This window comes from Homo sapiens, chromosome 2 (assembly GCF_000001405.40).
Source record: "Homo sapiens chromosome 2, GRCh38.p14 Primary Assembly".
Classification (NCBI taxonomy): domain Eukaryota; kingdom Metazoa; phylum Chordata; class Mammalia; order Primates; family Hominidae; genus Homo; species Homo sapiens.
In genome coordinates, this window is record NC_000002.12 from 241716763 (window position 1) to 241743989 (window position 27227).

General features: G+C 55.7%; 2 protein-coding genes across 58 annotated transcripts in view, besides 5 other annotated features; both read left to right on the forward strand.

Moving 5' to 3' along the window:
- Positions 1-12716, forward strand: part of ING5 (inhibitor of growth family member 5) — a 42459-nt gene extending 29743 nt beyond the window's left edge. For 4 of the 21 annotated variants that reach the window (NM_001330161.2, XM_047446014.1, XM_047446011.1 and 1 more), the window contains 2 exons: positions 2721-2850; positions 3214-5045. In NM_001330161.2, coding sequence (NP_001317090.1) covers positions 2721-2850; positions 3214-3360 — 277 coding nt within the window. In that variant the 3' untranslated portion in view covers positions 3361-5045. Of the gene's footprint in view, positions 1-2720; positions 5046-6176; positions 6313-6447; positions 7413-7896 lie in introns of those variants that run through there. The other 17 variants (XR_007082548.1, XR_007082549.1, XR_007082544.1 and 14 more) reach the window with 11 other exon arrangements.
- Positions 17395-17444: a silencer, noted in NCBI's record as "silent region_12557". NCBI's record gives its function as "represses an Ori minimal core promoter by ATAC-STARR-seq in GM12878 lymphoblastoid cells {active_cell/tissue: GM12878}" and the evidence as "EXISTENCE:reporter gene assay evidence [ECO:0000049][PMID:35858748]".
- Positions 17485-18534: a silencer, noted in NCBI's record as "silent region_12558". NCBI's record gives its function as "represses an Ori minimal core promoter by ATAC-STARR-seq in GM12878 lymphoblastoid cells {active_cell/tissue: GM12878}" and the evidence as "EXISTENCE:reporter gene assay evidence [ECO:0000049][PMID:35858748]".
- Positions 17868-27227, forward strand: part of D2HGDH (D-2-hydroxyglutarate dehydrogenase) — a 34182-nt gene continuing 24822 nt past the window's right edge. For 35 of the 37 annotated variants that reach the window (NR_109778.2, XR_007081557.1, XR_007081578.1 and 32 more), the window contains exons 1-5: positions 17868-17933; positions 18371-18754; positions 24271-24328; positions 25673-25812; positions 26860-27053. Coding sequence is in view for 32 of the 37 variants with exons in the window: in XM_011511750.4 (XP_011510052.1) it covers positions 18463-18754; positions 24271-24328; positions 25673-25812; positions 26860-27053 (684 nt within the window). In the remaining 5 variants the exon portion in view is untranslated. The remainder of the gene's footprint in view (positions 17934-18370; positions 18755-24270; positions 24329-25672; positions 25813-26859; positions 27054-27227) is intronic. The other 2 variants (NM_001352824.2, NM_001287249.2) reach the window with 2 other exon arrangements.
- Positions 18545-18654: a silencer, noted in NCBI's record as "silent region_12559". NCBI's record gives its function as "represses an Ori minimal core promoter by ATAC-STARR-seq in GM12878 lymphoblastoid cells {active_cell/tissue: GM12878}" and the evidence as "EXISTENCE:reporter gene assay evidence [ECO:0000049][PMID:35858748]".
- Positions 18695-18934: an enhancer, noted in NCBI's record as "active region_17430". NCBI's record gives its function as "activates an Ori minimal core promoter by ATAC-STARR-seq in GM12878 lymphoblastoid cells {active_cell/tissue: GM12878}" and the evidence as "EXISTENCE:reporter gene assay evidence [ECO:0000049][PMID:35858748]".
- Positions 22784-22883: an enhancer, noted in NCBI's record as "active region_17431". NCBI's record gives its function as "activates an Ori minimal core promoter by ATAC-STARR-seq in GM12878 lymphoblastoid cells {active_cell/tissue: GM12878}" and the evidence as "EXISTENCE:reporter gene assay evidence [ECO:0000049][PMID:35858748]".

Below are 27227 nucleotides of genomic sequence, written 5' to 3' on the forward strand. Positions count from 1 at the left end.
AGCACGTTATTACCTTAGATGCAAACCACTGATGACGTGAAACACGCCTTAAAATATATGTGGAATGTAAAGATGTTGAACTCACAGAAGTAGAGAGTAGAATGGTGGTCAGGCGCTGGGGTGGTCAGGGGAGACGTTGGATACAGAATTTCATTTAGATAGGAGGAATAAGTTCAAAAGATCCGTTTTACAACATGGTGACTACAGTTAATAACAATATAGTCTCAAAAAAATGTGTAGATTTTAAGTGTTCTCACCACAAAAGTCACCCCATATATAGTTACCTCATATAGTTGCCATTTCTGGTAACCTTCATTTTTTTTTTTTTTTGAGACAGAGTCTTGCTCTGTGTCCCAGGCTGGAGTGCAGTGGTGCGATCTCAGCTCACGGCAACCTCTGCCTCCCAGGTTCAAGTGATTCTTGTGCCTCAGCCTCCTGAGTAGCTGAGATTACACCCACCTACTCACCTGGTTAATTTTTGTATTTTTAGTAGAGATGGGGTTTTGCCATGTTGGCCAGGCTGGTCTCGAACTCCTGGCCTCCAGTGACCCTCTCGCCTCAGCCTCCCAAAGTGGCAGGATGACAGGCATGAGCCACCGCGCCTGGCCCAACTATTATTTCTTAATATTTATTTTCTTTCTTTAAAAATTTTTTTTCCATACATATTCTGCTTACGTATATTTCTTTATGTGGATGCAAATTTCTGTCTTGTCATTTCTCCTCTACTGAAGAACTTTAACATTTTTTGCAGTACATGTATGCTGATGGTGATGAATTCTCTGTTTTTGTTTCTCTGAAAATGCTTTTATTTCACTGCGTATAGAATTTTAGGTTGACCTTTTTTCTTTTATCGCTAAAGATGTTCTCTCATTTTCTTCTGTCTTTCATTGATTCTGATGATAAATTACTGATAATAATTATTTTTGGTGGTTTCTTTTTTTTTTTTTGCTTTTAAGATTTCTCATTGTCACTGGCTCTTAACAGTTTGGTTATGATGTGTATTGGTGTGATTTTTTTGTGTATATTTTGCGTGGAACTTGTTGAGCATCTTTGAACTGTTGGTTTATACTTTGCATCGAATTTGGAAAATTTTCAGACAGTTCTTCCAGTATTTTTGTGCTCTCCTTTCTCCTCTTCCTGCTGTCCAGCTCCCTGTGCGTTCCTTAGCTTAGATTTTCTCACAGCTCACCGAGGCTCTGCTTACTTTCTGCAAGCTTTTTTCTTTCTGTACTTCAGTTTGATTTGTTTCTATTACTTTATTTATTTATGAGACAGGTTCAGGCTCTGTGGCCCAGGCTGGAGTGCGGTGGCGCAATCTCCGCTCACCGCAGCCTCTGCCTCCCGGGTTCAAGCCATTCTCCCGCCTCAGCCTTCCAAGTAGCTGGGATTACAGGTGAGCGTCACCACACCCGGCTAAGTTTTGTATTTTTAGTAGAGTCGGGGTTTCAGCCTGTTGGCCAGGCTGGTTTCAAACTCCTGGCCTCAAGTGATCCGCCCAGCTCAGCCTCTCACCTTCCCTTTCCTTCTTTCTTTCCTTCCTTCCTTTCTTCTTTCCTCCCTTCCTCCCTCCCTCCCTCACTTCCTTCCTCCTTCCCTCCCTCCCTCCCTTCCTCCCTCCCTCCCTTCCTTCCTTCCTTCCTTCTTTTCTCTTTCTGTCTTTTTTTTTTTTTTTTTGAGACGGTCTTGCTTGGTCACCCAGGCTGGAGTGCACTGGTACAATCTTGGCTCACTGCAAGCTCCGCCTCCCAAGTTCAAGCGATTCTCTGCCTCAGCCTCCCAAGTAGCTGGAATTACAGGCACGTGCCACCATGACTGGCTAATTTTGTATTTTTAGTATAGACAGGGTTTCACCGTGTTATGCAGGCTGGTCTCGAACTCCTGGCCTCAGGTGGATCTGCCTGTTTTTGGCCTCCCGATGTGCTGGGATTACAGGCGTGAGCTGCTGTGCCCGGCCCTAAGTTAGTTTTAATCTCCTTTAATACATTTTTCATTTAAGAGATTGTAGGGCTGGGTGCTTTGGCTCATGCCTGTAATCTCAGCACTTTGGAAGGCTGAGGTGGGAGGGTCACTTGAGTAGCCGGGATCACAGGCATGTGCCACCATTCCTTGGTAACCAGCTTTTAAAAAAACATAATCAGTCCTATTTCCCTGCTGAGGGTACATGTCTCATGATTTATTAGCTGTCTGACTTTAGATATAAAGGAAGCGTGGAGAGGGAAATTTCTGTTCTCCCCAGGAGGTGTTCGTTCTGTTTTAGTCCAGGCCAATAGGGCTGGGGGCCTGGGGCGGGGCAGGGTCTCAGCTTCAGCTCCACCGAGGCCCCTTGAGGACCTTGAGGTTTCCTCTCTCGCCTCCTGCCCCAGCGGCTTCCACAGTTGGTAGAAGTGCGGGGGAGGAGACCAGCGGTGCCCGAGCAGACCCCTTGCTCGAGAACTCCGAGGTTGCAGGGATTTTCCCTCTGCTTTTAGTTGCTCTGTGCAGCCTCTGGACTATAAATGTCGGTGGGGACGCGGCCGCCATGTGTGGCTGTGTGGGCTCAGCGTGGCCCAGTGGCCAGCCCAGCCCTCACTCAGTGCATGAGGCAGGCGGACGCCGCCCCCAACCCCCCAACACCCCCCACTCTGGCTGCAGGTCATCTAGCTCTTGTTGCTCCACAGCTCCCCGACATCTTTGAGAATGTGGTTTTTGTGACTTGCTGGGTTTTGTGTTTTCTAACTCAGTGGCAACAGCGTTCTGAGTCTTCCTGCTCCTTCCTGCTCGGAACCTGAAGGCCCTGTCCCGACCGTGCCTTTTCTGCGTGAAAGTGGGACTCCTCCTGGTCTCTTCCTCACCCAGTGCTGTTTCTCAAGGGTATGCTAGGCATAAGGAATGCAGGCACTGGGGGTCCTCGTGGGGGTGAAGGAGACTCCAGCTCCCTGTTGGGGTCGGGGCTTCCTCCCTGAGGGCTCTGCCCAGCTTCAGAGACCTCAGGAACAGCCAGCACCTCTGCAAACACAGGAAGATCCACTGTGGCCTCATGGCTTTTCCTGTCCTGACAGTGCGCTGACCAGCACTGTTTAGTAGCAATGCGGAGCCTGGGAGCTCAGCGCTGCCTGCCGTGCAGGTCCCAGTAGTGACAGATGAGAAGGGTGATCACCGATGGCGACAGTTGCGGGGCCCTGCGGCTCTGGATCTAGCTTGTGTGTGAATCTCTTTCTTCTCTGTGCCCCCAAGTGGCAGTGCTGCTCCTGTCCCATTGCAAGACGTCGAGACAGGCTGGTAAGGCCAGCTCTGAAGCTGGGCTCTGACGTCCAAGGCGCCAAGGAGGCCCCTTCCAGAGGGACAGGAGGATGGTGCAGGTGGGCAGACGGGTCATCCTGAGGACCAGTCGGTTGGACCCAAAGCCTGGCCTGCCGGGGCGGGAGTGTGCACTCGGGTGCCTCCAAGGGCATCATCCTGGGTGTGTGCAGGAGCCCGCCTGCCCCTGGGCTCTGGAGTTCTGTGGTGCGCGTCCCTGACCCATCAGCACAGTGGGTATTCACGCCCCTCGTGGTCACGCTGTGGTGCCAGGCCGCTCTGCCTCAAGGCAGGTCCTGTTCCCTGCTGGGGACCCAGGCGCACGCACCATCCTGTCCCTGTGGACTGCCCTCTTCAGGCCTGTTCCCCACGTGCCCGGGGCTCTTCCTGGAATGCAGTGTTCCTAGACTGCACAGATGCTCCGTGTCTCGTCTGAGATCCCGTGACCTGAGGCTGCCCCCTGCACTGTTGCTGCCCTGTGGCCTTGCTCTGGCGAGGCAGAACCTGTGTGTGTGGATGAAGGGCAGTGTCACCTGTAGCACCTGGAATCCCGGGGCTTGGACAGGCAGCCAGCCCCCTGCTAGGAGCCACGTGGAGTGCTGGGAAGCCATCGGGGCCGGGCGCGGAAGGGCTCGCTGGCACCGTCTGGCGAGGGGTGCCTGCCACACCCTGGGGAGTTAGCACAGAGGGTGCCTCTTGTGGCAGTGGTGCTGAAGGGAGTCAGCAGCCGCTGACAGTTGGGGTCACCCTGGCCTGTGCAAGGGACAGGGCTCCCCATGGCCTCCTGGTTGCCTCCCTCAGGGCTGATAGCAGCACTCCCTGGCCACACGCCATGGCGCTCCCTCAGGCGAGACTGAGAGGCCAGTGAGGCCTGCACGGTGGCCTCAGCTTCTGGGGTGCCCTTGCTGGGCGGTCCCCTCAGGCCCCCGGCCCTCTCCCACAGCCATCAAATCTGGCCAGCGCCCTCGAACCTGGTGATGCTGAGACACAGGTCAAGTGGCAGCTCAAGATGTCAGGTCGGGCTTTGTGGACAGAATTGGACTCGGCGCAGAAGAGGAGGGCGTCAGCGTTTCGGGGACGGTTGGCAGCAGAGGGTGCTGCCCTGCTCTCCGCGGGTGAGAGGTGACTCGAGGAGACCGCAGGAGCCCCTTGGAGGTGAAGCCACAGGTGGCATCCCGGAATCGGCAGGAGGCTGAGACGTAGACCCTTGCGTGCTGCTGTCAGAGGAGAGACCCGAAGACTACTTGAGACTGTTGCTTGAAAGCAGTGTCGGCAGCACCTGGACCTGGACTTGTGACGCTGATGGATTTCAGCTCTAAAGAGAAACCCCTGTCTATTCCCAGACAGAGAGAAAGAGCAGAAGAGCAGATTACCTGCAAAGGACAGACTTAGGTGGGCGCCCCTGTGCCAGAGGGCAGCGGGGAGGCCGGGTGCATGCTGAGCCCGAGTGTGTGTGTATGTGTACAGGCAATTGCAAAGGCGTAGAAAAGCTTTAGACAGGTATCCAAGGAAAAGCTGAGTGTTGATTCCCTCTGGGACCCAGACTTCTGCTCCTTGGCTTTCCCTGATCGTGACTGTTTTTCTCACGGCCACGTTCCTCCTGCTAACCTGCTGTGTTTACATACCAACTAGATATTCGTGGGTTGGAGGGTGGGATAGGGAAGATACTTTTTCTTTCTGTACTAATGGGAATACACTGTCTATAGTACCTGCAGCTTGTAAGTTTATTTGAAAAATACTGAAATATAAAAGCGTAAATTTCCCCCTAAGTGCATCCCTTTCAAACAGGAAAGTCTCCACCTGAGGTCTGTGGTCCTGGTGGGACGGCCATGGTGCTACAGGTGGCAGGCTTGGAGGGAGGCATAGACGGGGTGGAACACCTGCCAGGCTGCTGTGTAGAAACCCACGTGGGAGCTGATGGGGATGAAGGAGTGACAAGGATGGTGTGTGGTCGGAAGGGGCCCTGTGCCAGGTGGACAGCTGGGTGGGTGGTGGGCGGTCCAGGGAGTGTGTGGGGAGCTGCTGGTTGAGTCAGTATTGGGGCAGAGGTGCCTGAGTAGGTGCGTGGAGGGCCCGGGCGCAGGACGCATGGCTGTTCTCTTGGGAGGAGGTCACAGTTACGGGAGAGCTGTTGACTGTGCGGGCTGCTCTGACACCTGTCAGTCTGGAGTGGGAGGCTGGCAGGCTTCTCTCAGGTGTCAGCCGTCTGCTGGCAGAGGTGACGTGTGCTTGTTTCCAAAGGGGCCGGGGTCTTTGGAGGGATGGCCCAGAAGTGGGTTGAGTCCAGAGGTCCCCGGGGGAGTCCTGTCTGGGAGGAGGGACCGAGATGAGAGTGGACTCGTCCCCAGAGTGGGACCAGAACCCCGGTGCTGTGGGTGAGTGCTGCGCTTCACGGCCTCCTGGGGGCCCTCTGTGCCCCCATGCCCCTGCCTGGGCCCGAAGGTGGGCGCGAGGTCTCCACCCCTCTGCTGCCAGCTGCTGCTGTTCCTGGATTTTTGTGGGTAACTGTTCTTTCTAGCATCAGCTGACAATCTGTTCGTATACTTAATGATTTTCTTGCTGCGCCTTCTTAGAACATTGCGTGTTCAGAGGGGTTATTGAGGTTTTGAAAATGTGTGCTCCAGGAAGAAAACGTCCACAAGGTGTGTATTCAGTTAGTGCATGACTGCAGTGGCTGGCCCTGGAGTCGCATTCATTTCTAAAGGACAATGGGAAAAATGGAAGCAAGCTTATTCATTATGTGTCGCTCAGAGCACGGTACCAATTTCCCCCTTGGAATGATTGTCTTCACAGTTTTGGGGTGAGGGGGCCTTAAGTCAGAGACAGAAGGGCCCGTGGTGTCCGTGCCGCCTCACTTCCCACCATGGCCTTCAGTGGTGCCTGTGCCCTGTCCCCTGCAGGTCTGAGTTCACTGACACCATCCTGTCCGTGCACCCCTCTGATGTGCTGGACATGCCCGTGGACCCAAACGAACCCACGTACTGCCTGTGCCACCAGGTCTCCTATGGGGAGATGATTGGCTGTGACAATCCAGACGTGAGTGTCGCCTGCAGGATTCGCGCCATGGGGCGGGGTCTTGTGTGGGGCAGGGCTGGCGGATGTTGGCATTTCTTGTGTTTTGCATACAGAACATGAGGCGTGTTGACTGCGGTTTCTCCCTTTACTTTGCAGTGTCCAATTGAGTGGTTTCACTTTGCCTGCGTGGACCTTACCACGAAACCCAAAGGAAAATGGTGAGTGTGGGGACGCTCGCTCTGTTTTCTCCCAGTCTGCTGGGTGTTGCGCTGCTGGCCTCCCCAGGAGAAGGTGCTCCATGGCAGAATCTTGCCGGGCTTAGCGGGACACGGTAGCCACGTAGGCATGCCCCACTGTGGCCTCAAGGAGTGTGGCTGGCTGGTGGCTGCTCTGGGTGTGGCTTTATCCCCCCTTTGCTGCTGTGCCTGTCCGAGCTGGCAGAGGGATGCCGTCACCCAGGAATGGTGGTTACCAGGTTACGTGATATTCACGTTAATGGCCCCTCCTGAAGGACAACCTTCCGGACTCTGGGAGGTAGGGATCGTCTTAAATCAGAAATGAGAGGTTCTTGTCCCCTAGGGAAATTTGGGAAATATAGCATGAGATGTGAGCCCTGAAGCCGGGGCATGGATCTGGGGCTCTGCCCCTGGCTCTGTCTAGTGGAGAAGGGTGTGTTTTCTCTACCTGACCCTTGCATCCCCTTGGCAATGGCAACTTTCTGCATTGTTGTTCCTCAGATTTCATTTAAATAAAAACCTGTAGTCTGGGCAACATCGGGAGACCCCAACTCTACAAAAAATACAAAAATTAGCTGGGCGTGGTGGTGCGTGCCTGTGGTCCCAACTACCTGGGAGGCGGAGGCGGGAGGATGGCTTGAGCCTGGAAGTCCGAGGCTTCAGTGAGCTGAGATCGCGCCACTGCACTCCAGCCTGGGCGAGAGAGCAAGACCCTGTCTCAAATAAATAAATAAAAAGATAAAAACCTGGCTTTGTTTGCCTGTGCTGAAAATCTAAAAATGGATATCTATGTTCTGAAAATGAAATCGGAATGTGCTCTTCTGTGTGGCACTCAGAGGTCATCGTGGCAGCGTGTTTGAAACTCCGGCAGACTCGCCCGAGTTGGTAAGAGCCAGTTATCCTTGGTGTTCGGTGTGAGGACACAGGGAAAGGATGCCGTGTCTCGGAGGCTGGCCGAGCTCACGGTGTCATGTGGCGTCAACACAGGCTGTCCTGTCACAGGGACACATGGCACTGTGGTGCCCCACGCCGTGCGGCTGGGGGATGGTGCACCGAGGGTTTTGAGAAGGGGTACGGAGGCTGTTAGGGCGGAGGGCCCTGGGCAGGCTTGGGCCTGGGCCAGGCGGTGGTTGACGGTTGCCGTCATGCGAGTCGGCTGCCTCCTGCGTGGGGAACCTATGGAATGTCCTCTGTGGTCAGCAGCTGCCTCTGTTCAGGAGCCCCTTGTGCGTGCAGCTCCAGAACTTGCTCAGAGTCACCAGGGAGCACTTGTGAGACGGCAGCTTCCAGGGCCAGTGCAGGGTGCCTGGCTGGGTTTCCGTGGGCCTGAGGGGCTGCCATGCTCTCAACGCGTGCTTGGTACCTGCAGCCCCCACAGACTGCAGACAGAGGGCACCAGCGACCCTGCCATCGGCCGGGGAAGAAGGACCCACCTGTTAAGGAGGAACGCCTGGGTGTCAAATCGGTTTTGCTCATTGATGGTGTATCTGTCAGCTTCAGAACCGGCGTCCTGCATAGAGCCGCACGTGCATCGGCGCATTTTCCCTGCGGGAGGGCCGCGGCCCCACTGCGTGTGCCTCTCCTGGTGCCCTCCTGCCGGCGTCCAGCAGCCCTGGGAGACATGGGGAGGCGGGCCCTGGGCACCCTGCGCGCTGGCGGAAATGGCGCCCAGGGCCTCACTGCGCCTTTCTTGTCACAGGTTCTGTCCACGGTGTGTCCAGGAAAAGAGGAAGAAGAAGTAGGAGGAGCTGTGTGCCCGGATCCGAGGAGCAAGTTAATCTGTCCCTTCATTCGTGTCGCAATATTTCCCTTCCTTTTAAAACTACCTTGTTCGGTTGATACTTAGTAACTCCGTGGCCAGTTGAAGCGCTGGATGTTTCCTAGAACAAGAACCACCAAAGCCTGTTCGCACAGAAGGGCGACCTTGCAGGGACTCGCCGCCGCGACCTCAGTGTGGCTTTTACAGGACTCCCCCCGAGCATCAGCAGGGACCCCGGCGGACGTGGGCGGGCGCGCGTGAGCTCGGGCTGCCCGGCCGGGCGTGCGGGCGGGGACATGGTAACCTGGTCCACGGAGGGCGGCCGCCACCCTCGCGTAGCTTTCCTGTGGTTTTCCAGGACTGTCCGGTACAGCCCGGGCTCCGCGTGCCCCGCCCGCTGGAGCACCTGCCACCGAGGCGCGCGTGGGGCCACTGCCGTGGCGGCGGCTGCCCTCCTCACACTCGGCTCCGCGCCGCCTCCGGCCACCGTGCGCTCCCGCGTGGGGCGCCTCGGATGGGCCCGGGAGGGCTGGGGGCTCTTCCCTGGAGGAAGCGGCCTCCGCTTCGCTGGCGCCGCCTTTTTAGCTTGGACTTCAGTCCTCCCTCGGGGACTCACCTCCGGAGTAAACGGCTCTTCATTAGCTTGGAGTGGCCGCAGGTCCCGTGACCAGCACCCGCGAGACCCTGTGCGACAGCTGGGCTGATGCTCCGTTTCTCTGGGAATTGGTGATTTTTTACTGTGAAGATGAAATTACCCTAATAGCATGAAGATCGTGGGTCTGTGTGTCCGTGAAGTGAGTCCCGTCTGCCAGGAGCTGACGAACCACGAATGCTTCTGCCTGTGCTGTGCATTCCCAGGCCCGCAGCTCCCGGTCGAGGGGACTCCGATGTGAATTTGTTGTGAATTTGTTGTGCCACAATAGCAGTTCTGGAATGAAGCTAGGAAACTCGAGTGTGCTTTTTGTTTAATGAGCGTTCACCAAGCTGAGCCGGAGCCATCCTTTCGGTGGTAGTTGGGGAAGGCTATGCAGATTTGCTCTGTTGTGACGCGTTGGTGACGGTGCCCAGCCTGCGGTTCCCCACAGCATCGCAGGCGCTCGGAAATCCTCTCCCGTGCCTTTAGAGGAAGGAGAGGATTGCTGAGGAATGCAGGGACGCCTGTTTCTGTCCTCACACCACAGAAAGAAACCTGAGGGAAAACTGAGACGTGAGGTTCCTGATTTAAGAAGCCTGGGTTTCTTCATGGTGGGGGGCCATTTGGAATGACAGCCTCACTTCCTTCTGATGGCTACATCTGTATCTTTTCCTCCTGTGTTTAATGTTTCACTAGGGAGAGGAAATAAAGCAGAAGGAACGTGTGAAGCTCTGTGTCTCAGACGGGGCCCTCCCGTCGAGAAGCTGGTAGTCAGTGAGTGAGAACAAGAGAACAAGAACACCCTGAACAGTCCTGGTTGGGATGGTGTCCACATTCATGTTCTGCGGTTCTTGAACACACGGATGCCTCTGGGCCACCTGTCCTTTTCCGAGGGTGTGGGTGGGAGTGGATCCTCCGGGCGCAGGTGCCAGGCAGGTGCAGGCGGGCGGTCGGCCACTGCTGCTGCTCGTCCCTGCCAGTGTCTGGGCCTGAAGGGGCTCCCTCCAAGCGGTGCCTTCCTGCGGCTTAGAAGGGAAAGCGCCAGAGAGGGCAGGCTACAGTGCTTCACACCCTTCGCCACGGCTGTGAAACTGGAGATGGGTGGGTTTTGTATGTTAATTTTTTTTTTTGAGACGGAGTCTTGCTCTGTCACCCAGGCTGGAGAGCAGTGGCGTGATCTCGGCTCACTGCAAGCTCCGCCTCCCGGGTTCACGCCATTCTCCTGCCTCAGCCCCCCCGAGTAGCTGGGACTACAGGCGCCCGCCACCACGCCTGGCTAATTTTTTATATTTTTAGTAGAGACAGGGTTTCACCATGTTAACCAGGATGGTCTCGATCTCCTGACCTCACGATTTGCCCGCCTCGGCTTCCCAGAGTGCTGGGATTACAGGCGTGAGCCACCGCGCCTGGCCACCCAGCTAAGTTTGTATTTTTGTTGGAGACGGGGTTTCACCATATTGGCCAGACTGGTCTCAAACTCCTGGGGTCAAATGATCCGCCTGCGTCGGCTTCCCAGAGTGCTGGGATTACAGGTGTCAGCCACTGCGCTCAGCTGGGAGATGAATTTTCATTTAATGACTTAACTTTTTGTTAGCACAGGTTTTGTGTGTGTGTGTGTGTGTGTGTTTTGTTTTTTGTTTTGTGTTTTTGAAACGGAGTTTTGCTCTGTCACCCAGGCTGGAATGCAATGGCACCATCTTGGCTCACTGCAACCTCTGCTTCCTGGGTTCAAGTGATTCTCTTGCCTTAGCCTCCCGAGCAGCTGGGATTATAGGCGTCCACCACCACGCCCAGCTAATTTTTGTATTTTTAGTAGAAATGGGGTTTCACCATGTGTGGCCAGGCTGGTCTCGAACTCCTGACCTGAAGTGATCCACCCGCCTCGACCTCCCAAAGTGCTGGGATGACAGGCATGAGCCACCGCACCCGGCCAACACAGATGTTTATTGATCGTGGAGGATACATTGTGGAAAATGTTTTTCTCTCTTTTACCATTTTTGGGAAGAGGGATAGGTAAGTGCAGGGAGTTTGTGCTGAAACAGCGCCTGGCAATTTTTCAGAAATGAATTTGATATTGCGCTCCACCTTTGAGCTGTTCACACCTGTGGCTACCCCTGGAAAGCGCTGGGGTTGTTGATGCTTTTGGCTGCCCGGCTTCCTGAGGTCTCGCTGCTTTTTGGGGAAAGATGACTGGCTTCCCTGTGGGACGCTTTTGTCTGACACGTGATGATGTGGTCCTGCCTGCCACTGTGCACCATCCCAGGTATTGAATTTTGACCTTTTCTTTTCAAGTTTCTGTGCTTAGTGTTTTTAATGTTTACTTTTGCCACTTACAATAATATCACCAAAATAATATGCATAGAGTTTTGGAAGAAACATAGAAAACATGAGCAGAATGAGACAATTCCTTGGGCTGTAGTTTGGACCCAACTGAATCCTGAGTGCTCTGTGGCTGACGCTGTCTACCCGTGGGAGAGACACACTCAGGAGTGGCCGTTTGGCCAGAAAAGAAGGTCATGGCCCCTGGCCTGGCCCCCGCCCTGCAGGGACACAGAAGCCACACCATTTGCACCATCCACGCCTTGCTCCAGAAGGCCTGGCCGCCTTCTCCCTGGGGGTGATTCAAGGATTTGGTCTCGGACCAGACCCCCCTCCACAGCTGCCCGGCCCCAGACCCATCTCTTGGATTGAGGGTGTGTGGGCTGGAACCAGTGGGTCACTGTGGCAGCTTCATCTGAGCCGAAGGTGTGGGTCCTCTGTGGCTGTGCGATTGACCTCGATGGGAAGGAGCGTTCTACCCATTTTCCTTGTTTTCAGTGCTGCGGTATCAGTCAGTGATCTGAGGAAATCCTGTAGGGGAAGGCAGGCTGCAGTGAAAACAGGAGCTGGTGAAACCGAGCCCTCTGCATCTGCGAATGTGCCCTAGGTGCTGCTGCTGGGGACATGGATGCCAAGCGGAGGCCTGCGTGGCCTCCTGAGCAGCAGCTGACCGCCCGTCTCATGCTGGACGGGACCCCTGGGCGGGTGGACATGAGACCACTGTTGGCCAGGGACGCCGTGCGGAGGCCTACGTGGCTGCCTGAGCAGCAGCTGACCGCCCGTCTCACTGTTGGCCAGGGCTTTGTGGCGTGGGTGTTTTCCAGTCTGCCTGGAGCAGCGAGAAGCAGCTGTGCAGACTGGTGGCGGTGGGAGGGTTTGCTGGGACTGATGGGGACACCGGCCAGCTTGTCTGGTGTCCAGCAGCCCTGCCGGACTTGGCCTCCTGTCCTGTCGTTGGGAGCCCTGGCTGGGGCTGCTTTGAGCAATGACGCTGGCCCAGAGCAGCTTCCCACATGACCCCAGAGCCGAGGGTCTGCCCTGTCCTAGGTTAGGTCTTCATGGTTTAGAGTAAAACCGTGAGGGATGTTAATTATGGGCATTGAAGACTTAAGGTTTTCTTAAATTTTTAGTGAGCAGTGATTGGCCTTCAATACTTGTGCTGAGAGGAATTTTAAGCCAGGGGAAGTGTAAGAAAATGTTCCCATTCAGGAGAGATTGTGTTGGAGTTTCTTTCTTCCTCTGTATGTATTTTGTGGTGTCCACCTTTAACCACGTTTCATCCAAAACGATGATGCAGCTTTAACATGAATGTTACATTTTTATTTTCAAGGAATTATTATCTATGTTCCCTTTGTAAAGGAAAGATAATGTTGTAAATCTTTTTATTAGATAATGTAAAGATGTATATCAGTATTTTTGGATCATGTTATAGATTATGGATATATTGTTTAATAAATAAAGTATTTTTTGGAACAAACAATTGAAAGTGCATCTGTATTAGCCCGTTTTCACGCTGCTGATAAAGACATACCCGAGATTGGGTAATTTGTAAAGAAAAAGAGGTTTTTTTTAAAAAAAATTTTCTTTTCTCTTTTTTTGAGACGGAGTCTTGCTCTGTCACCCAGGCTGGAGTGCAATGGCACTGCATGATTTCGGCTCACTGTAACATCTGCCTCCCGGGTTCAGGTGATTCTCCTGCCTCAGCCTCCTGAGTAGCTGGGACTACAGGCACGTGCCACCACGCCCTGCTAATTTTTGTATTTTTAGTAGAGATGGGGTTTTGCCATGTTGGCCAAGCTGGTCTTGAACTCCTGACCTCAGGTGATCTGCCTGCCTCAGCCTCCCAAAGTGTTGGGATTACAGGCGTGAGCCACCGCACCTGACAGAAAAAGAGGTCTGGTGGACCCTCAGTTCCACATGGCTGGGGAGGCCTCACAATCATGGCGGGAGACGAAAGGCTTATCTTACATGGCAGCAGACAATAGAAAATGAGAGCCAAGTGAAAGGGGTTTCCCCTTAAAAAAACCATCAGATCTCGTGAGACTTATTCACTACCACGAGAAAAGTATGGGGGAACCACCCCCAAGACTCAGCATCATTTTGGGAAACAGGTGTAAAATGTCAGTGTTGTGCCCAGAGACAGGTGTGTGAAATTGAATTCTGAAGGGGTATGCAGTGATTGGAGAGTGGTTTGCGGAGCTTGCTGGCTGGGGGTCTGGGGAGGACCCTGTGCCTTACCTTGGGTGGTTGCTCAGGAAGCTCAGTGGCCAGTGCTGGGGCTCAAGTTGACTTCCAAGGAAGACGTGTGAGAATGCTGCAGTTGCTTTCTTTTTTTTTTGTTTGAGACGGAGTCTCACTCTGTTGCCCAGGCTGGAGTGCAGTGGTGCAATCTCTGCTCACTGCAAGCTCCGCCTCCCAGGTTCACGCCATTCTCCTGCCTGTGTCCCGAGTAGCTGGGACTACAGGCGCCCACCACCATGCCCGGCTAATTGTTTGTATTTTTAGTAGTGACAGGGTTTCACCGTGTTAGCCAGGATGGTCTCGATCTCCTGACCTCGTGATCCGCCTGCCTCGGCCTCCCAAAGTGCTGGGATTACAGGCGTGAGCCACCACGCCCGGCCGCTGCAGTTGCTTTCTAAAGGAGTACTGTGCTTGCTCTGGAAGGGCAAGACTTACCGTGTTGCACTTGCCTTTTGGAAGCTGCTGGAGTCAGCTTAGGCTCTGTATTAGTCCATTCTTGTATTGCTATAAAGAACGACCTGAGACTGTGTAATTTATAAAGAAATGAGGTTTAATTGACTCACAGTTCTGCAGGCTGTACAGGAAGCGTGGTGCGGAGGCCTCAGGAAACTTACATCATGGCAGAAGGCGGAGGGGAAGCAAGCACGTTTTACCACGGCAGACCAGGAGAGAAAGGGAGCAAAGGGGAAAGGTGCCACACTTTTAAACAAGCAGGTCTCCTGAGAGTTCACTTACCTCCACAAGAACAGCAAGGGGAAATCTGCGCCCATGAGCCAGTCACCTCCTACCAGGCCCCTCCCCCAACATTGGGGATTATGGGCGGGGACACAAATCCAAACCATATCAGGCTGTTATCACAATACCACAGACTGGGAGGCTTAAGAAAAATGTCTTATATTTCTGGAGATTGGAAGTCCAAGATTAAGGCGCTGGGGTTGTCTGGTGCCTGTCCAGGGCTCTTCCCTTGGGTTGTGAACACTGCCTTCTCATGTGTGCCTACGAAACTGACTGGGAGAGGGAGCTCTCTGGTGTCTCTTATTTTACGGATGCCTGTCCTGTCGGATCAGGACCCCACCCTTGTGACTGACTTTAACCTTAATTACTTCTTCAGAAGTTCCATCTCCAAATACGGCCATATTGGGGGTTACAGCTTCTGCATACGAATTCTGGGGGACACAAACATAACAGGAGCTGATGGGTCTCAAGATGTTGCCTTGAGGAGTGCATTAACAGAACCCGGGAAGAGCTTGGTCATCACGAGGTACAGTCGGCCTCTCACCCACCGTCCAGGTGAAAACCAATCCGTAGACTGGAGTCCTCGCTGGAAGAGGAGGCTGAGATGCTGGGGGAAGGCCCCACAACGCCGAAACCAGCACCTGCCATCTCGCTGGAAGAGGAGGCTGAGATGCTGGGGGAAGGCCTCACAATGCGGAAACCAGCACCTGCCATCTCGCTGGAAGAGGAGGCTGAGATGCTGGGTGAGGGCCCCACAACGCTGAAACCAGCACATGCCGTATTTTCCTCCAAGCATTCTCTGAGGGTACATGTGGGCTTTGCTAGGGTGACTATGCCCTGGGAAAAAGAAAAATCAGTTGTTATTATTTTCTGAGACAGTTTTTTTTTTTTTTTTTTGAGACAGAATCTCACTCTGTCGCCAGGCTGGAGTGCAGTGGCGTGATCTCAGCTTACTGCAACCTCTGCCTCCCAGGTTCAAGCCATTCTCTTGCCTCAGTCTCCCAAGTAGCTGGGATTATAGGCACCGACCACCATGCCCAGCTAATTTTTGTATTGTTGGTAGAGACAGGGTTTCACCATGTTGGCCAGGTTGGTGTAGGGACCAGCCCCACAGGGTCGGTGGGTCTCTCCCCATGTGCGGAGACGAGAGAGTACAGAAATAAAGACACAAGACAGAGATAAAAGAAAAGGCAGCTGGGCCTGGGGGACCACTACCATTAAGTTGCGGAGACCGGTAGTGGCCCCGAATGCCAGGCTGCACTGATATTTATTGGATACAAGACAAAGGGTCAGGATAAGGAGAGTGAGCCATCTCCAATGATAGGTAAGGTCATGTGGGTCACGTGTCCACTGGACAGGGGCCCTTCCCTGCCTGGCAGCCGAGGCAGAGAGAGAGAGGAGACAGAGAGACAGCTTACGCCATTATTTCTGCTTATTAGAGACTTTTAGTACTTTCACTAATTTTGCTACTGCTATCTAGAAGGCAGAGCCAGGTGTACAGGATGGAACATGAAGGCGGACTAGGAGCGTGACCACTGAAGCACAGCATCACGGGGAGACGGTTAGGCCTCCGGATAACTGCGGGCGAGCCTGACTGATGTCAGGTCCTCCACAAGAGGTGGAGGAGTACAGTCGTCTCTAAACTCCCCCGGGGAAAGGGAGACTCCCTTTTCCGGTCTGCTAAGTAGCGGGTGGTGTTTCTTGACACTTTTCGCTACCGCTAGACCACGGTCCGCTAGGTAACGGGTGTCTTCCCAGACGCTGGCGTCACCGCTAGACCAAGGAGCCCTCTGGTGGCCCTGTCTGGGCATAACAGAAGGCTCGCACTCTTCTGGTCACTCCTCACTATGTCCCCTCAGCTCCTATCTCTGTATGGCCTGGTTTTTCCTAGGTTATGATTGTAGAGCGAGGATTATTATAATATTGGAATAAAGAGTAATTGCTACCAACTAATGATTAATGATATTCATATATAATCATATCTAAGATCTATATCTGGTATAACTATTCTTATTTTATTATACTGGAACAGCTCGTGTCTTCGGTCTCTTGCCTCGGCACCTGGGTGGCTTGCCGCCCACAGTTGGTATCGAACTCCTGACCTCAGGTGATCCACCTGCCTCAGCCTCCCAAAGTGCTGGTATTATGGGCGTGAGCCACCGTGCCTGGTCAGAAAAATCAGTTATTTTAGGGGATGGTATGGGTGGTAATCTTTATGGGTTTTGAATCATTCCTAATCCCAGGGGTCCAAGATGCCACTGGCCTGCTAGTCAAAGGGAGGGCGTGTGGAGGTCAGGTGGTAAGGGGGTCCACAGACCTCATCTGTGGTCGTCTTTCCAGTTCCTGAATGTGTAATTGCAACAGTTACCCTTGACAATGGGCAAACTCCCACACTCATCTGCAGAGCAAGGGCCAGCCAGGTAGGAAGGGCCAGGTGGATGTCTCCTTTCCAGGGTTGTATGAATGATTCACCTGGGAAGAAGGTGAGTGGCCTCTGGGGATGTGGTTAAGGAGGACAGGAATGACTCCTTGCAACTGCTGCTCCAGAGCCTCATCACCAGGACAAATCCAGCTCGCCGGTTTTCTGTGTGACTACCAGGACCCATCTGCTGTCACGGGCGTAGCCTCCACCTCTTGCACAGCTCCGCAGTCCTGCCTCGGGCCAAGTGTGGTCTCCTGCTCTCTGCCCTCATCTGCTCAGAGATTGGCATCCTCTGCACCCGCTAGGGTTCTATGGAATTGGGTGAGCTGAAGTAACAAGTGCTTTGGGAGGCCGACGCGGGCGGATCGCTTGAGTCCAGGAGTTCGAGACCAGCCTGGGCAGCACATGAGACCTCATCTCTACAAAAATACAACAACAACAAAAAATTAGCCGGGTGTGGTGGTGCACGCCCGTAGTCCCAGCTACTTGGGTGGCCGAGGTGGGAGGATGGTTTGAGCTCGGGAGGCAGAGGTTGCAGTGAGCTGAGATCAACCCCAGAACTCCAGCCTGGGCAACAGAGCTAGACCCTGTCTCAAAAAAACACAAAACAAGTGCTGGCGATGCCTCAGGCAGGGGATCCCAGGCCGGGAGGCTCCTCGGGACAGCAGTTACTGCGTCAGGAGGGCAGGAGCTCCCCAGGTGTGCAAAGGGTTTGAGGGCACGGAGGGCTGAACAGGCAGAAGGGACAGGGAGGCAAGAAAACACCTGCAGGAGGCAGCTGCCCCCTAAGCTAAGGCTGGGGACCCAGGAGGGGTGGTCCGTGCAGGAGCTGGGGAGGCCGCTGGGGAAAGGGGCGCCCCCTGGGCTCGGCCTCGGAGGAGCGGGCCGGCCCCCAGGTCCCTCGGCCGAGCCCACGTCCCGGGCCTCGTTCTGGAGAACCCTCCAGCTGCTGCTTGGGCGTCTTGGGCTGCGCTCAGCCTAGTCCCTTCTCTACCTGGAGGGATGCGCCCGACAGCCGGCGCGCCGGAGGCCCTCAGGAAACGCAGGACGAGGCGGTGGCCGTCGAGCCTCCGGTGCCAGTCGGGGCGGGGCTTGGACGGCGGGGCGGGGACTGTAGGCGCGCAGGGCTGGGCCTGGAGGGCAGGCGGGGCGGGGCCCGTTAGGCGCGCGGGGCGGGGCTTCGGCCGCTGGGCGGAGCCGTCAATGCGCAGGCGCGGCGTCGCCCCGCCCACTCCGGCTCGGCGGCTCTGGGCCTGCGGCGGGCGCTGCGGGTTGGAGCTCGGGACGTGATCGTGGGTGCGTGCGCGCGGCCGCGCGGAGCGCTGGGCTGAGGGTCCCGGTCTGCGGTTCAGCCGCGGGTCGGGGTGGCGGGGCGCGATCTCGGGCGCCGTCAGCCAGTCGGTGCCTGTGGGGGGAGGGGGACGGCGCTGCAGCTCGTCACGTGACCGCGTGGAACACGCGCGCGCGTCCGCGGGATCCCCTCGGGGGGCGAGCTCGGAGGAACGGGGTCCTGGGCAAGGTCCCGGCGAGGCCGCCCCGAGCCTGCGCGTCGCTAAGTCCAGGCCTGCTGCGTGGGGCTTCGCGCGCTCGCGGGGTTGCGGCCCGGGCAGGGGGAGGGCCCGGGTGCTCGGAGCCTTCCCTTCGCTGCCCTCCTGCCCCCTCCCTGCTTCTGCAAGCGTGTTTCAATTTGTACAACGTGCATAAAACATGAAATTACCCTTGGCCACTTCCAGGCGCGCAGCCAGCGGCTCCCTGCCCTTCCCCTCCGGGCCCTGAGTACCGGCCCCCCACCAAGGAGGAGCCCGAGGTCTCCGTCCCGGCGGCGATGCTGCCCCGTCGGCCTCTGGCGTGGCCCGCGTGGCTGTTGCGGGGTGCTCCGGGAGCCGCGGGTTCTTGGGGTCGGCCGGTTGGCCCCCTGGCCCGCAGAGGCTGCTGCTCCGCCCCGGGGACCCCCGAGGTGCCGCTGACCCGGGAGCGCTACCCCGTGCGGCGCTTGCCGTTCTCCACGGTGTCTAAGCAGGACCTGGCCGCCTTTGAGCGCATCGTGCCCGGCGGGGTCGTCACGGACCCGGAAGCGCTGCAGGCTCCCAACGTGGACTGGTTGCGGACGCTGCGAGGTGGGTGAGGCTTGGGAAGCTGCGGCGTTTCCGCGTCCCTGCTCCGCTGCGCCTTCCCGTGGAGGCTTCAAAGCGGGCTGAGAACAACCTGGATGGGGGTGCCAGCCCCTGGCTGCGCTGAGAGGGGCGTGTGCACCGCCACAGGCTGCTGGAATGAATGACCACGAACGAGTCGCTTAGAACAACCCAAGTTTTGTTGTTGTTGTTGTTTTGTTTTTTCTTTTTTTTAAGACGGAGTCTCACTCTGTCGCCAGGCTGGAGTGCAGTCACGGAGTTTCACTCTGTCGCCAGGCCGGAGTGCAGTGGCGCGACGTCGGCTCACTGCCACCTCTGCCTCCCGGGTTCAAGCGATTTGCCTGCCTCAGCCTCCCTAGTAGCTGCGACTACAGGCGCCCGCCACCACGTTCCGCTAATTTTTGTATTTTTAGTAGAGACAGGGTTTCACCATGTTGGCCAGGATGGTCTCGATCTCTTGACCTCGTGATCCGTCCGCCTCGGCTTCCCAAATTGCTGGGATTACAGGCGTGAGCCACCCCGCCCTGCCAACAACCCAAGTTTGCCTGGCGCAGTGGCTCTGCCTGTAATCTCAGCTGCCCTGGAGGCTGAAGCCAGGAGTTCAAGACCAGCCTGGGCAACATAGCCAGAACCCCCGCCCCACTCACCTCTAAAAATAAAAATAAATAAATAAAAGTAGCCGGCCCAGGATTGAAAAAACAAAAAGTAAAAAAGTTACTCCAGCCCAGGAGTTCCAGTTTTAGTGGACTATGATCTCACCACTGCATTCCAGCCTGGGCAACAGAGCAAGACTACATCTCTAAAACAAAACAGAATTCCCCTCCCCACCAAACCCCACAAGTTTGTTCTCTAAGCTCTGGAGGCCAAAAGTGTGAAATCAGGGTATCACAGGGCTGCGCTCCCTCCAAAGCCTCCAGAGGAGGCTCCTTCCTGCCTCTTGTAGCTCTAGCTCCTGGTGGCCCCAGGTACCAAATTACTCCAGTCTCTGCCTCTGTTTTTCATACAGGTTTTTCTTCTCTGTGACTCTTCTCCAGTTGTCTTATAAAGACACTTCTCATTGGATTGAGGGCCCACCCTAATCCAGGATGATCGTATCTCAGTACTGTCAACTTAATTACATCTGCAAAGACCGTTTATCCGTTTTTTTTTTTTTTGGAGATGAAGTCTCACTCTTTTTGCCCAGGCTGGAGTGCAATGGTGCAATCTTGGCTCACTGCGACCTTCCCCTCCTGGGTGTAAGCAATTCAGCCTCCCAAGTAACTGGGATTACAGGTGCCCGCCACCATGCCCGGCTAATTTTTGTATTTTTAGTAGAGACGGGGTTTCACCATGTTGACCACGCTGGTCTCGAACTCCTGACTTCGGGTGATCCACTCACATTGGCCTCCCAAAGTGCTGAGATGACAGGCATGAGCCACTGCACTTAGCTGGACCGTTTTTTCTTTTTGTTTTTTTGAGACGGAGTCTCGCTCTGTTGCCCAGGCTGGAGTGCAGTGGCGTGATCTCGGCTTACTGCAAGCTCCGCCTCCTGGCTTCACGCCATTCTCCTGCCTCCGCCTCCCGAGTAGCTGGGACTACAGGCGCCCGCCACCACGCCCGGCTCATTCTTTTTGTATTTTTAGTAGAGACAGGGTTTTATCGTGTTAGCCAGGATGGTCTCAATCTCCTGACATCGTGATCCGCCTGCCTCGGCCTCCCAAAGTGCTGGGATTACAGGCATGAGCCACCATGCCCAGCCCCATTTTTTCAAATAAGGTCCCATTCACAGGTCTTGGGGCATTGGGAAGCAGACGTATCTTTTTGGAGCCCATTAGGTAAGATGCAGGGCTCCTGGCCAACAATGCCTGCTCCTCTCCTCCCACTGCACTTCTGCCCAGTGGCATACAAGTCTGTGCACGAATGAGGGACTTCTCAGCCTCTGGGGCTGGCACTTCCTTTTGGTAACAGTGCCCAGTTTTCTCTTTTTTTATTTTTTTGAGATGGAGTCTTGCCCTGTCACTCAGGGTGGAGTGCAGTGGCACGATCTCCCCTTACTGCAACCTCCACTTCCTGGGGTCAAGCGATTTTCCTGTCTCAGCCTCCTGAGTAGCTGGGACTACAGCTGGGTTACACGCCTGTAACCCAGTTCTGTGGGAGATCGCTTGAGCCCAGGAGTTCAAGACCAGCCTGAGCAACATGGTGAAACTCTATCTCTACAGAAAATTAAAAATTAGCCGGGTATGGTGGCATGTGTCTGTGTGCTAAAATAGTAAAGCGAGGTAGAAGAGAATTGGTTGACTCTTAATTTACAACAAAATGATATATTTAAACCTGTGGAACTGGCACCAGGTCCTGGGGCTGAACATAGGGTGTGCTGTCATTGGGAAGATCTGGAATTGTTTTTATCTTTTTTTTGTTGGCCCTTGTAGAAGATTGAAATTATTAAGAACACTCAGAAAGTTTCCAGACCGTGTAATCTGGGAGTGCAGCGTATGTTAAAACAGTTCAGAAAGTTAGCAAGTTGAACTGGGGTCTAGGCTCAGATAATGGAAGCAGCTCTTTCCCTGCAGAAAGGCTGGGAGTCACTGGAAATCGCTGGACCAATGGTCACTGTGTAGGAGCTCTCTTGAGTGGAAGGGCCCCCACCCTCACCCTGCTCCCGAAGTAAGGACCCCTCTGGGGCGATCTCAAGCTGCTGCCCTGAGTGCACACCATGGCCCAGGGCCTGTGGGCTCACGAATGTTGTCCCCGGAGGCAGGTGAGGATGGACGCCCACCCTGGGCTTGGCTAAGTCGGGCCCCAGTCCTGGCTCAGCACTGCTGTCTGGGTGGCCCTAGGCAGATGACCCTCAGTGCCTGCCCTACAAAATGGGACTTGGAGCCACTGCCTCAGGAACACCGTGCGGGTAAGTGGGGCAGGAACCTAGCGTGAGCCTTGAGCACAATGCTTGGGTTCCCGTGCTCCCAGCCTGCTCGGAGGCCAGCACCCTGGGCTATGCCGCTGCTGCCCTCATGGGCAAGGGACCTCCCCGGGGCATGCAGGAGCGGGGAGGAAGCTGTAACTGAGATTGAGGGGTGACCACGCTCTTCCTCTCCTCTGCCTTGCCTGAGCCTGACTGGGCAAGAACTGGCTGTCCCCCTGGGTCCCCGCTCTCTGGTCAGCACCTTTTTGGGAATCCGTGGCCATGGACACCCTGTCCTGCTGCAGGGCCGCCCCTCGGTGTCTGTGTGTGCCTGTGGGAGGGCGCCTTCCTCTGCGTCCTGCTGCCCCGAGTTTGGTGAGGGCGAGGCTGAATTTCACTCATGTTTGAGTCCACAGGTTTGGTCCTGAATGTCTGCTCAGTAGGTGTTTGCTGATGTGAGGCTTAGTTGTTGAATTTTAGGTGAATTATCCCTTCATGTGGCTTGCTTTTGGAGAGAGAGCTTGTCTAGACTTCTGAAAACTCATTAAGCATCATATTCAAAAATCTAGACCATTTGCTCAGGATGGATGCTGCAGACGTTTAGTGAGCACGCCTGCACTGGCAGGAAGGTGGGAGCTTCGCGGTGTGAAAACAGGCTGGGCCCCTGTGTCACCTCTGGCGGCCTTGCCCCCATGGCCCCCTCCGTCTTTGTGGGGCTCCCATCGTTAACACTGGACCACCGGGAGGGAGCCCTCCTTTTCATCTTTCCCGTTAGAAGGTAAACATCACAGGAGTGGGAAATTCTGTGCTCATTCTGTGTCTGGAACGCGGCCTGGCCTGCATTCTTGGGGGGTACTCATGTTTGTGTTGAGAACCCTGCCACAGGCGCGTCACAAGTGTGTCCGAGTCGAAAGCTTTGCCATGAGTCCTGGGGCTCCTGAGCCCACTCGGGACAGGGACGCAGTGAGCGCAGGTGCCAGGGTTCCCTCAGGTGCCGCACTGAAGTGTCGGGCCGAGGCCCAGGTGCCCAGCAGGCCCCTCTGCAAAAATTGCTCATTTGATGAAAGAGACATAAGTGGCTTTCTGATCAGAAAAGCAAGGTGGACACCACAGCCTGGTTCTCAGAGCTCCACGAAGAGGTGACAGGCTCCCGTGACTGCACCTGCTGCCTCTCTGCAGCCCCCATCACCTGGGAAAGTCGTCTCAAGGAAACCCAAAGGCAGAAAGACGCCTGCTCACTTGGGGCAGCAGTGGTTAGCAACACCGGCGAACTAGCTCAGAGGGCTCCCACTGGTCACATCCAGGCATTCAGCAAATAAGGCGGCCAAGACTTATAGCCCAGTGAATAAAGTGAGAAGCCGAGAGCCCACATCACTGTGAATAAGCAGCTACATAAACACGTCAGTGAGAGCGAAGGGAAAGCCCTCCCTCGTGGCAGAGTCAGCTAAGAGGCCGGGCGCGGCGACTCATGCCTGTAACCACAGCCCTTAGGGAGGCTGAGGTGGGTGGATTGCTTGAGGCCATGAGTTCAAGATCAGACTGGGGAACATGGTGAAACCCTGTTTCTACTAAAAATATCAAAATTAGCCGGGCATGGTGGCAGGCACCTGTAGTCCCAGCTGCTTGGGAGGCTGAAGCAGGAGGATCGCTTGAGCTCAGGAGGTTGAGGCTGCAGTGAGCTGTGATTGTGTCACTGTACTCCAGACTGGGTGACGGAGTGAGACCCTGTTTCAAAAGAAATAAAAGGAAGTGTAGGTGGACAGATGGATTTAGGAAAATCACCAGTTGGCAACCATCCTAGTAACTGATTTGGTCTAGGATAATCAAAGATGTTAATGGGTGAAGCTTGAGGAGCAACAGGATGTCCACATAGTCTCAAGCGTCTGCTTGTGAGGTGCACACACATCACGAAAGGAAGTGTGGTGGCGTGGCAGGAGGGAAGCCTGCAGACATCCCGTTACCGTGGGACCGAGCCGACCTCACCACAAGTGGGTGGGCAACCTTGGAGCTGCCAATGCCTGGCCTGTGGGACTCTCATCCATGGGCCCAGCCTTACCCACTTCTGCACACTGTGCCCAGTGCCCGGCCCACCACCTCCCATGTGGGACCTAGTTTTGGTTTTTTTGAGATGGCTTCTTGCTCTGTCACCCAGGCTGGAGTGCAGTGTTGCGATCATAGCTCACTGCAGCCTTGACCTCCTGGACTCAGATGATTCTCCCTCCTCAGCTTCCCAAATAAGATCACTCTCTGGGGGCTGGGCATGGTGGCTCATGCCTGTAATCCCAGCACTTTGGGAGGCCGCAGTGGGCGGATCACGAGGTCAGGAGTTCGAGACCAGCCTGGCCAATGTGGTGAAACCCTGTCTCTACTAAAAATACAAAAATTAGCCAGGTGTGGTGGCGGGTGCCTATAATCCCAGCTACTTGGGAGGCTGAGGCAGGAGAATCGCTTGAACCTGGGAGGGAGAGGTTGCAGTGAGCCAGGATCGTGGCACTTCAGCCTGGGCAACAGAGTGAGAGTCCGTCTCCAAAAAAAAAAACTCGCTCTCTGGGGCGAGTGACCACTTGCCTCATCTGCAGCTCCCCCCACGCTGTCTCATAGGATCTTCTTCCTGTCACAGGCTGTAGCAAGGTGCTGCTGAGGCCACGGACGTCGGAGGAGGTGTCCCACATCCTCAGGTGAGGTGGTGGCTCCCGGCTCCCCCAGCCTTCCCTGTTGCCTGTGGGTCATTTCCTCATGGAGCCTGTGGGCAGCTGGGGTGACGCGGTGCGAAGCCAGCCGATGACATCTTGGTTTGTGTGTCTCAGTGTTTGTTCTGTGGTTTTTCGGTGCTATCTCAATGCATCTGTGGTGTGTAATCATTTCCCCCCATTTGGCAATGCCCATGCCCATTTCTTGGCACTGTCTGTAACAGCAAAGCTCCTCCCCCATGAACACACTACAGGGTGGCACTGGTCTCCGGGTGTCCATGACTGTGGACAGTGCTTTAGATCATCCTCAGCAGGTGCTTTGGGGCAACGTGCACTTACTCTGTTAAACTCCATCCCTGGGACTTGCTGTCTCCAGGGTTTATTTCATGTGTGGGGCTTGCTGTCTCCAGGGTTTATTTCATGTGTGGGGCTTGCTGCCTCCAGGGTTTATTTCATGTGTGGGGCTTGCTGTCTCCAGGGTTTATTTCATGTGTGGGACTTGCTGTCTCCAGGGTTTATTTCATGTATGGGGCTTGCTGTCTCCAGGGTTTATTTCATGTGTGGGGCTTGCTGTCTCCAGGGTTTATTTCATGTATGGGGCTTGCTGTCTCCAGGGTTTATTTCATGTATGGGGCTTGCTGTCTCCAGGGTTTATTTCATGTGTGGGACTTGCTGTCTCCAGGGTTTATTTCATGTGTGGGGCTTGCTGCCTCCAGGGTTTATTTCATGTGTGGGGCTTGCTGTCTCCAGGGTTTATTTCATGTGTGGGGCTTGCTGTCTCCAGGGTTTATTTCATGTACATGGGCAGATTCCTTTTCCCAGAGCACGGAACTTTGGTTTCTCCAAACCCCTAGCCACTGGGTGTGCTCTAGGCTTTGGGGCTTTGCAAAGGTGCAGGCTGGTTGGGAGGGAGGTATCCTTGGGCACACGTCTGGGGGATAATGGGCCGAGGGTGGGGAGATGCAGGCAGAGGGTGGAAGGCAGTGGGGGCAGTGCGGTCGAGGAACCCTGAGCTGGACCCTCTGTGAGCATGGTGTGAACGGGAAGGATGGGAGCCGGGCGTGTAGGACGTTCTGTCCTTTGAGGGAAGCCTTGTAGGACGTCAGAATCGGGGCCTCCACTTCCGTCTCCCTGTGCACAGCTTTCGGATTGGCCTCTGTCCTTCCTCAGAATCCCTCACATGCGTGGGCTGGGGAGGAGCCCCCGCTGAGGCTGCAGGCAGGGCAGGGTAATCAGGATTTGGAGTCAGGCACTGGTCCTGCGGCGTGTCCTTGGGGATGGTGGCGTAGGGGTGGGGACAGAGCCCCAACGTCCCTCCTGTCCTCATCCCAGGCACTGCCACGAGAGGAACCTGGCCGTGAACCCACAGGGGGGCAACACAGGCATGGTGGGTGGCAGCGTCCCCGTCTTTGACGAGATCATCCTCTCCACTGCCCGCATGAACCGGGTCCTCAGCTTCCACAGCGTGTCTGGTAAGCCTGTGCCACCCGTCGGGGCCCAGGAGTCCCTCCTGGTGCTGGTGGAGTTCTTCCTTGCCAGCGTCTGCAACTGTGGGGTGCTTGGGTGGGTGAATGAGTTAGGGCCGGCGCTGGGGAAAGAACCAGCGTCTGTAGCCTGGCCGCCTAGCCCCACCTCGCCCGGCCCCTCCAGACATGCGTGCTGGTGAGGGCTTGTCATTCTGGTCCCTTCCGACTCCATCCCGCTCTAGAGGTGTGTGAGGTGCAGAGTGGCATGTGTGAGGGGATCCTGACCCAGGGTGCCAGGGCGTGGCAGGCATGAGGGGATCCTGACCCAGGGCGCCAGGGCGTGGCAGGCGTGAGGGGATCCTGACCCAGGGCGCCAGGGCGTGGCAGGCGTGAGGGGATCCTGACCCAGGGCGCCAGAGCGTGGCAGGCATGAGGGGATCCTGACCCAGGGCGCCAGGGCGTGGCAGGCGTGAGGGGATCCTGACCCAGGGCGCCAGGGCGTGGCAGGCGTGAGGGGATCCTGACCCAGGGTGCCAGGGCGTGGCAGGCATGAGGGGATCCTGACCCAGGGCGCCAGGGTCCTGCTCTGGAGCTGGGCCTCTCCCCGCAAGGCCGGGCTCCAGGCCCCGGTCACTCTGTGGTCGGGCGCCTGCACTGTTGGGTGTTGAGCAGCATCCTTGGCCTCCGCCTACAAGGTGCCCATGGCACCCCCAACCCAGGCATTGTCCCACATGCCCAGGGCAGGATCAGCCCCAGCTGAGAATCTTCCCTCTTCTACTCCTTTCCACGAGTGTGTGTGGGGGTGGGAAGTTTTTTCCTCTCTTTTCATGTTACTCATTTTTTTTTTGTGTCACCATAATTATAAAGGTCCTGTGAGGCCCAGATGTTTTCGTCCTTGGGCCAGCGATGTGGGGGTGCCTCTTCTCCTCAGCCCTGGCGCTGAGGCTGATGTTCCTTCTGGGTGGCTTGCCTGTGCAAGATGGGGGTTGGGACTCACCAGCCCGGGGGCCCACTGGAAGCCAAGTGCTGCGGCAGCCTGGTCACTCTCTGCAGGAATTCTGGTTTGCCAGGCGGGCTGCGTCCTGGAGGAGCTGAGCCGGTATGTGGAGGAACGGGACTTCATCATGCCGCTGGACTTAGGAGCCAAGGGCAGCTGCCACATCGGGGGAAACGTGGCAACCAACGCTGGAGGCCTGCGGTTTCTTCGATATGGCTCACTGCATGGGACTGTCCTGGGCCTGGAAGTGGTGAGCTGGGGCAGCTGCTTGGTGCAGAGGTCGCCACGGGGTGTCCTCTCACGGCTCTCATGGGCCCACGTGGTGGCACAGGTGCATGGGGCCCCTCGGGGTGGGAGGTCTTGGTTCCTGGCCCTGGGCCCCTCAAGGATGTGTGGGCTACATACACCCCCATCCTGAGGGAGG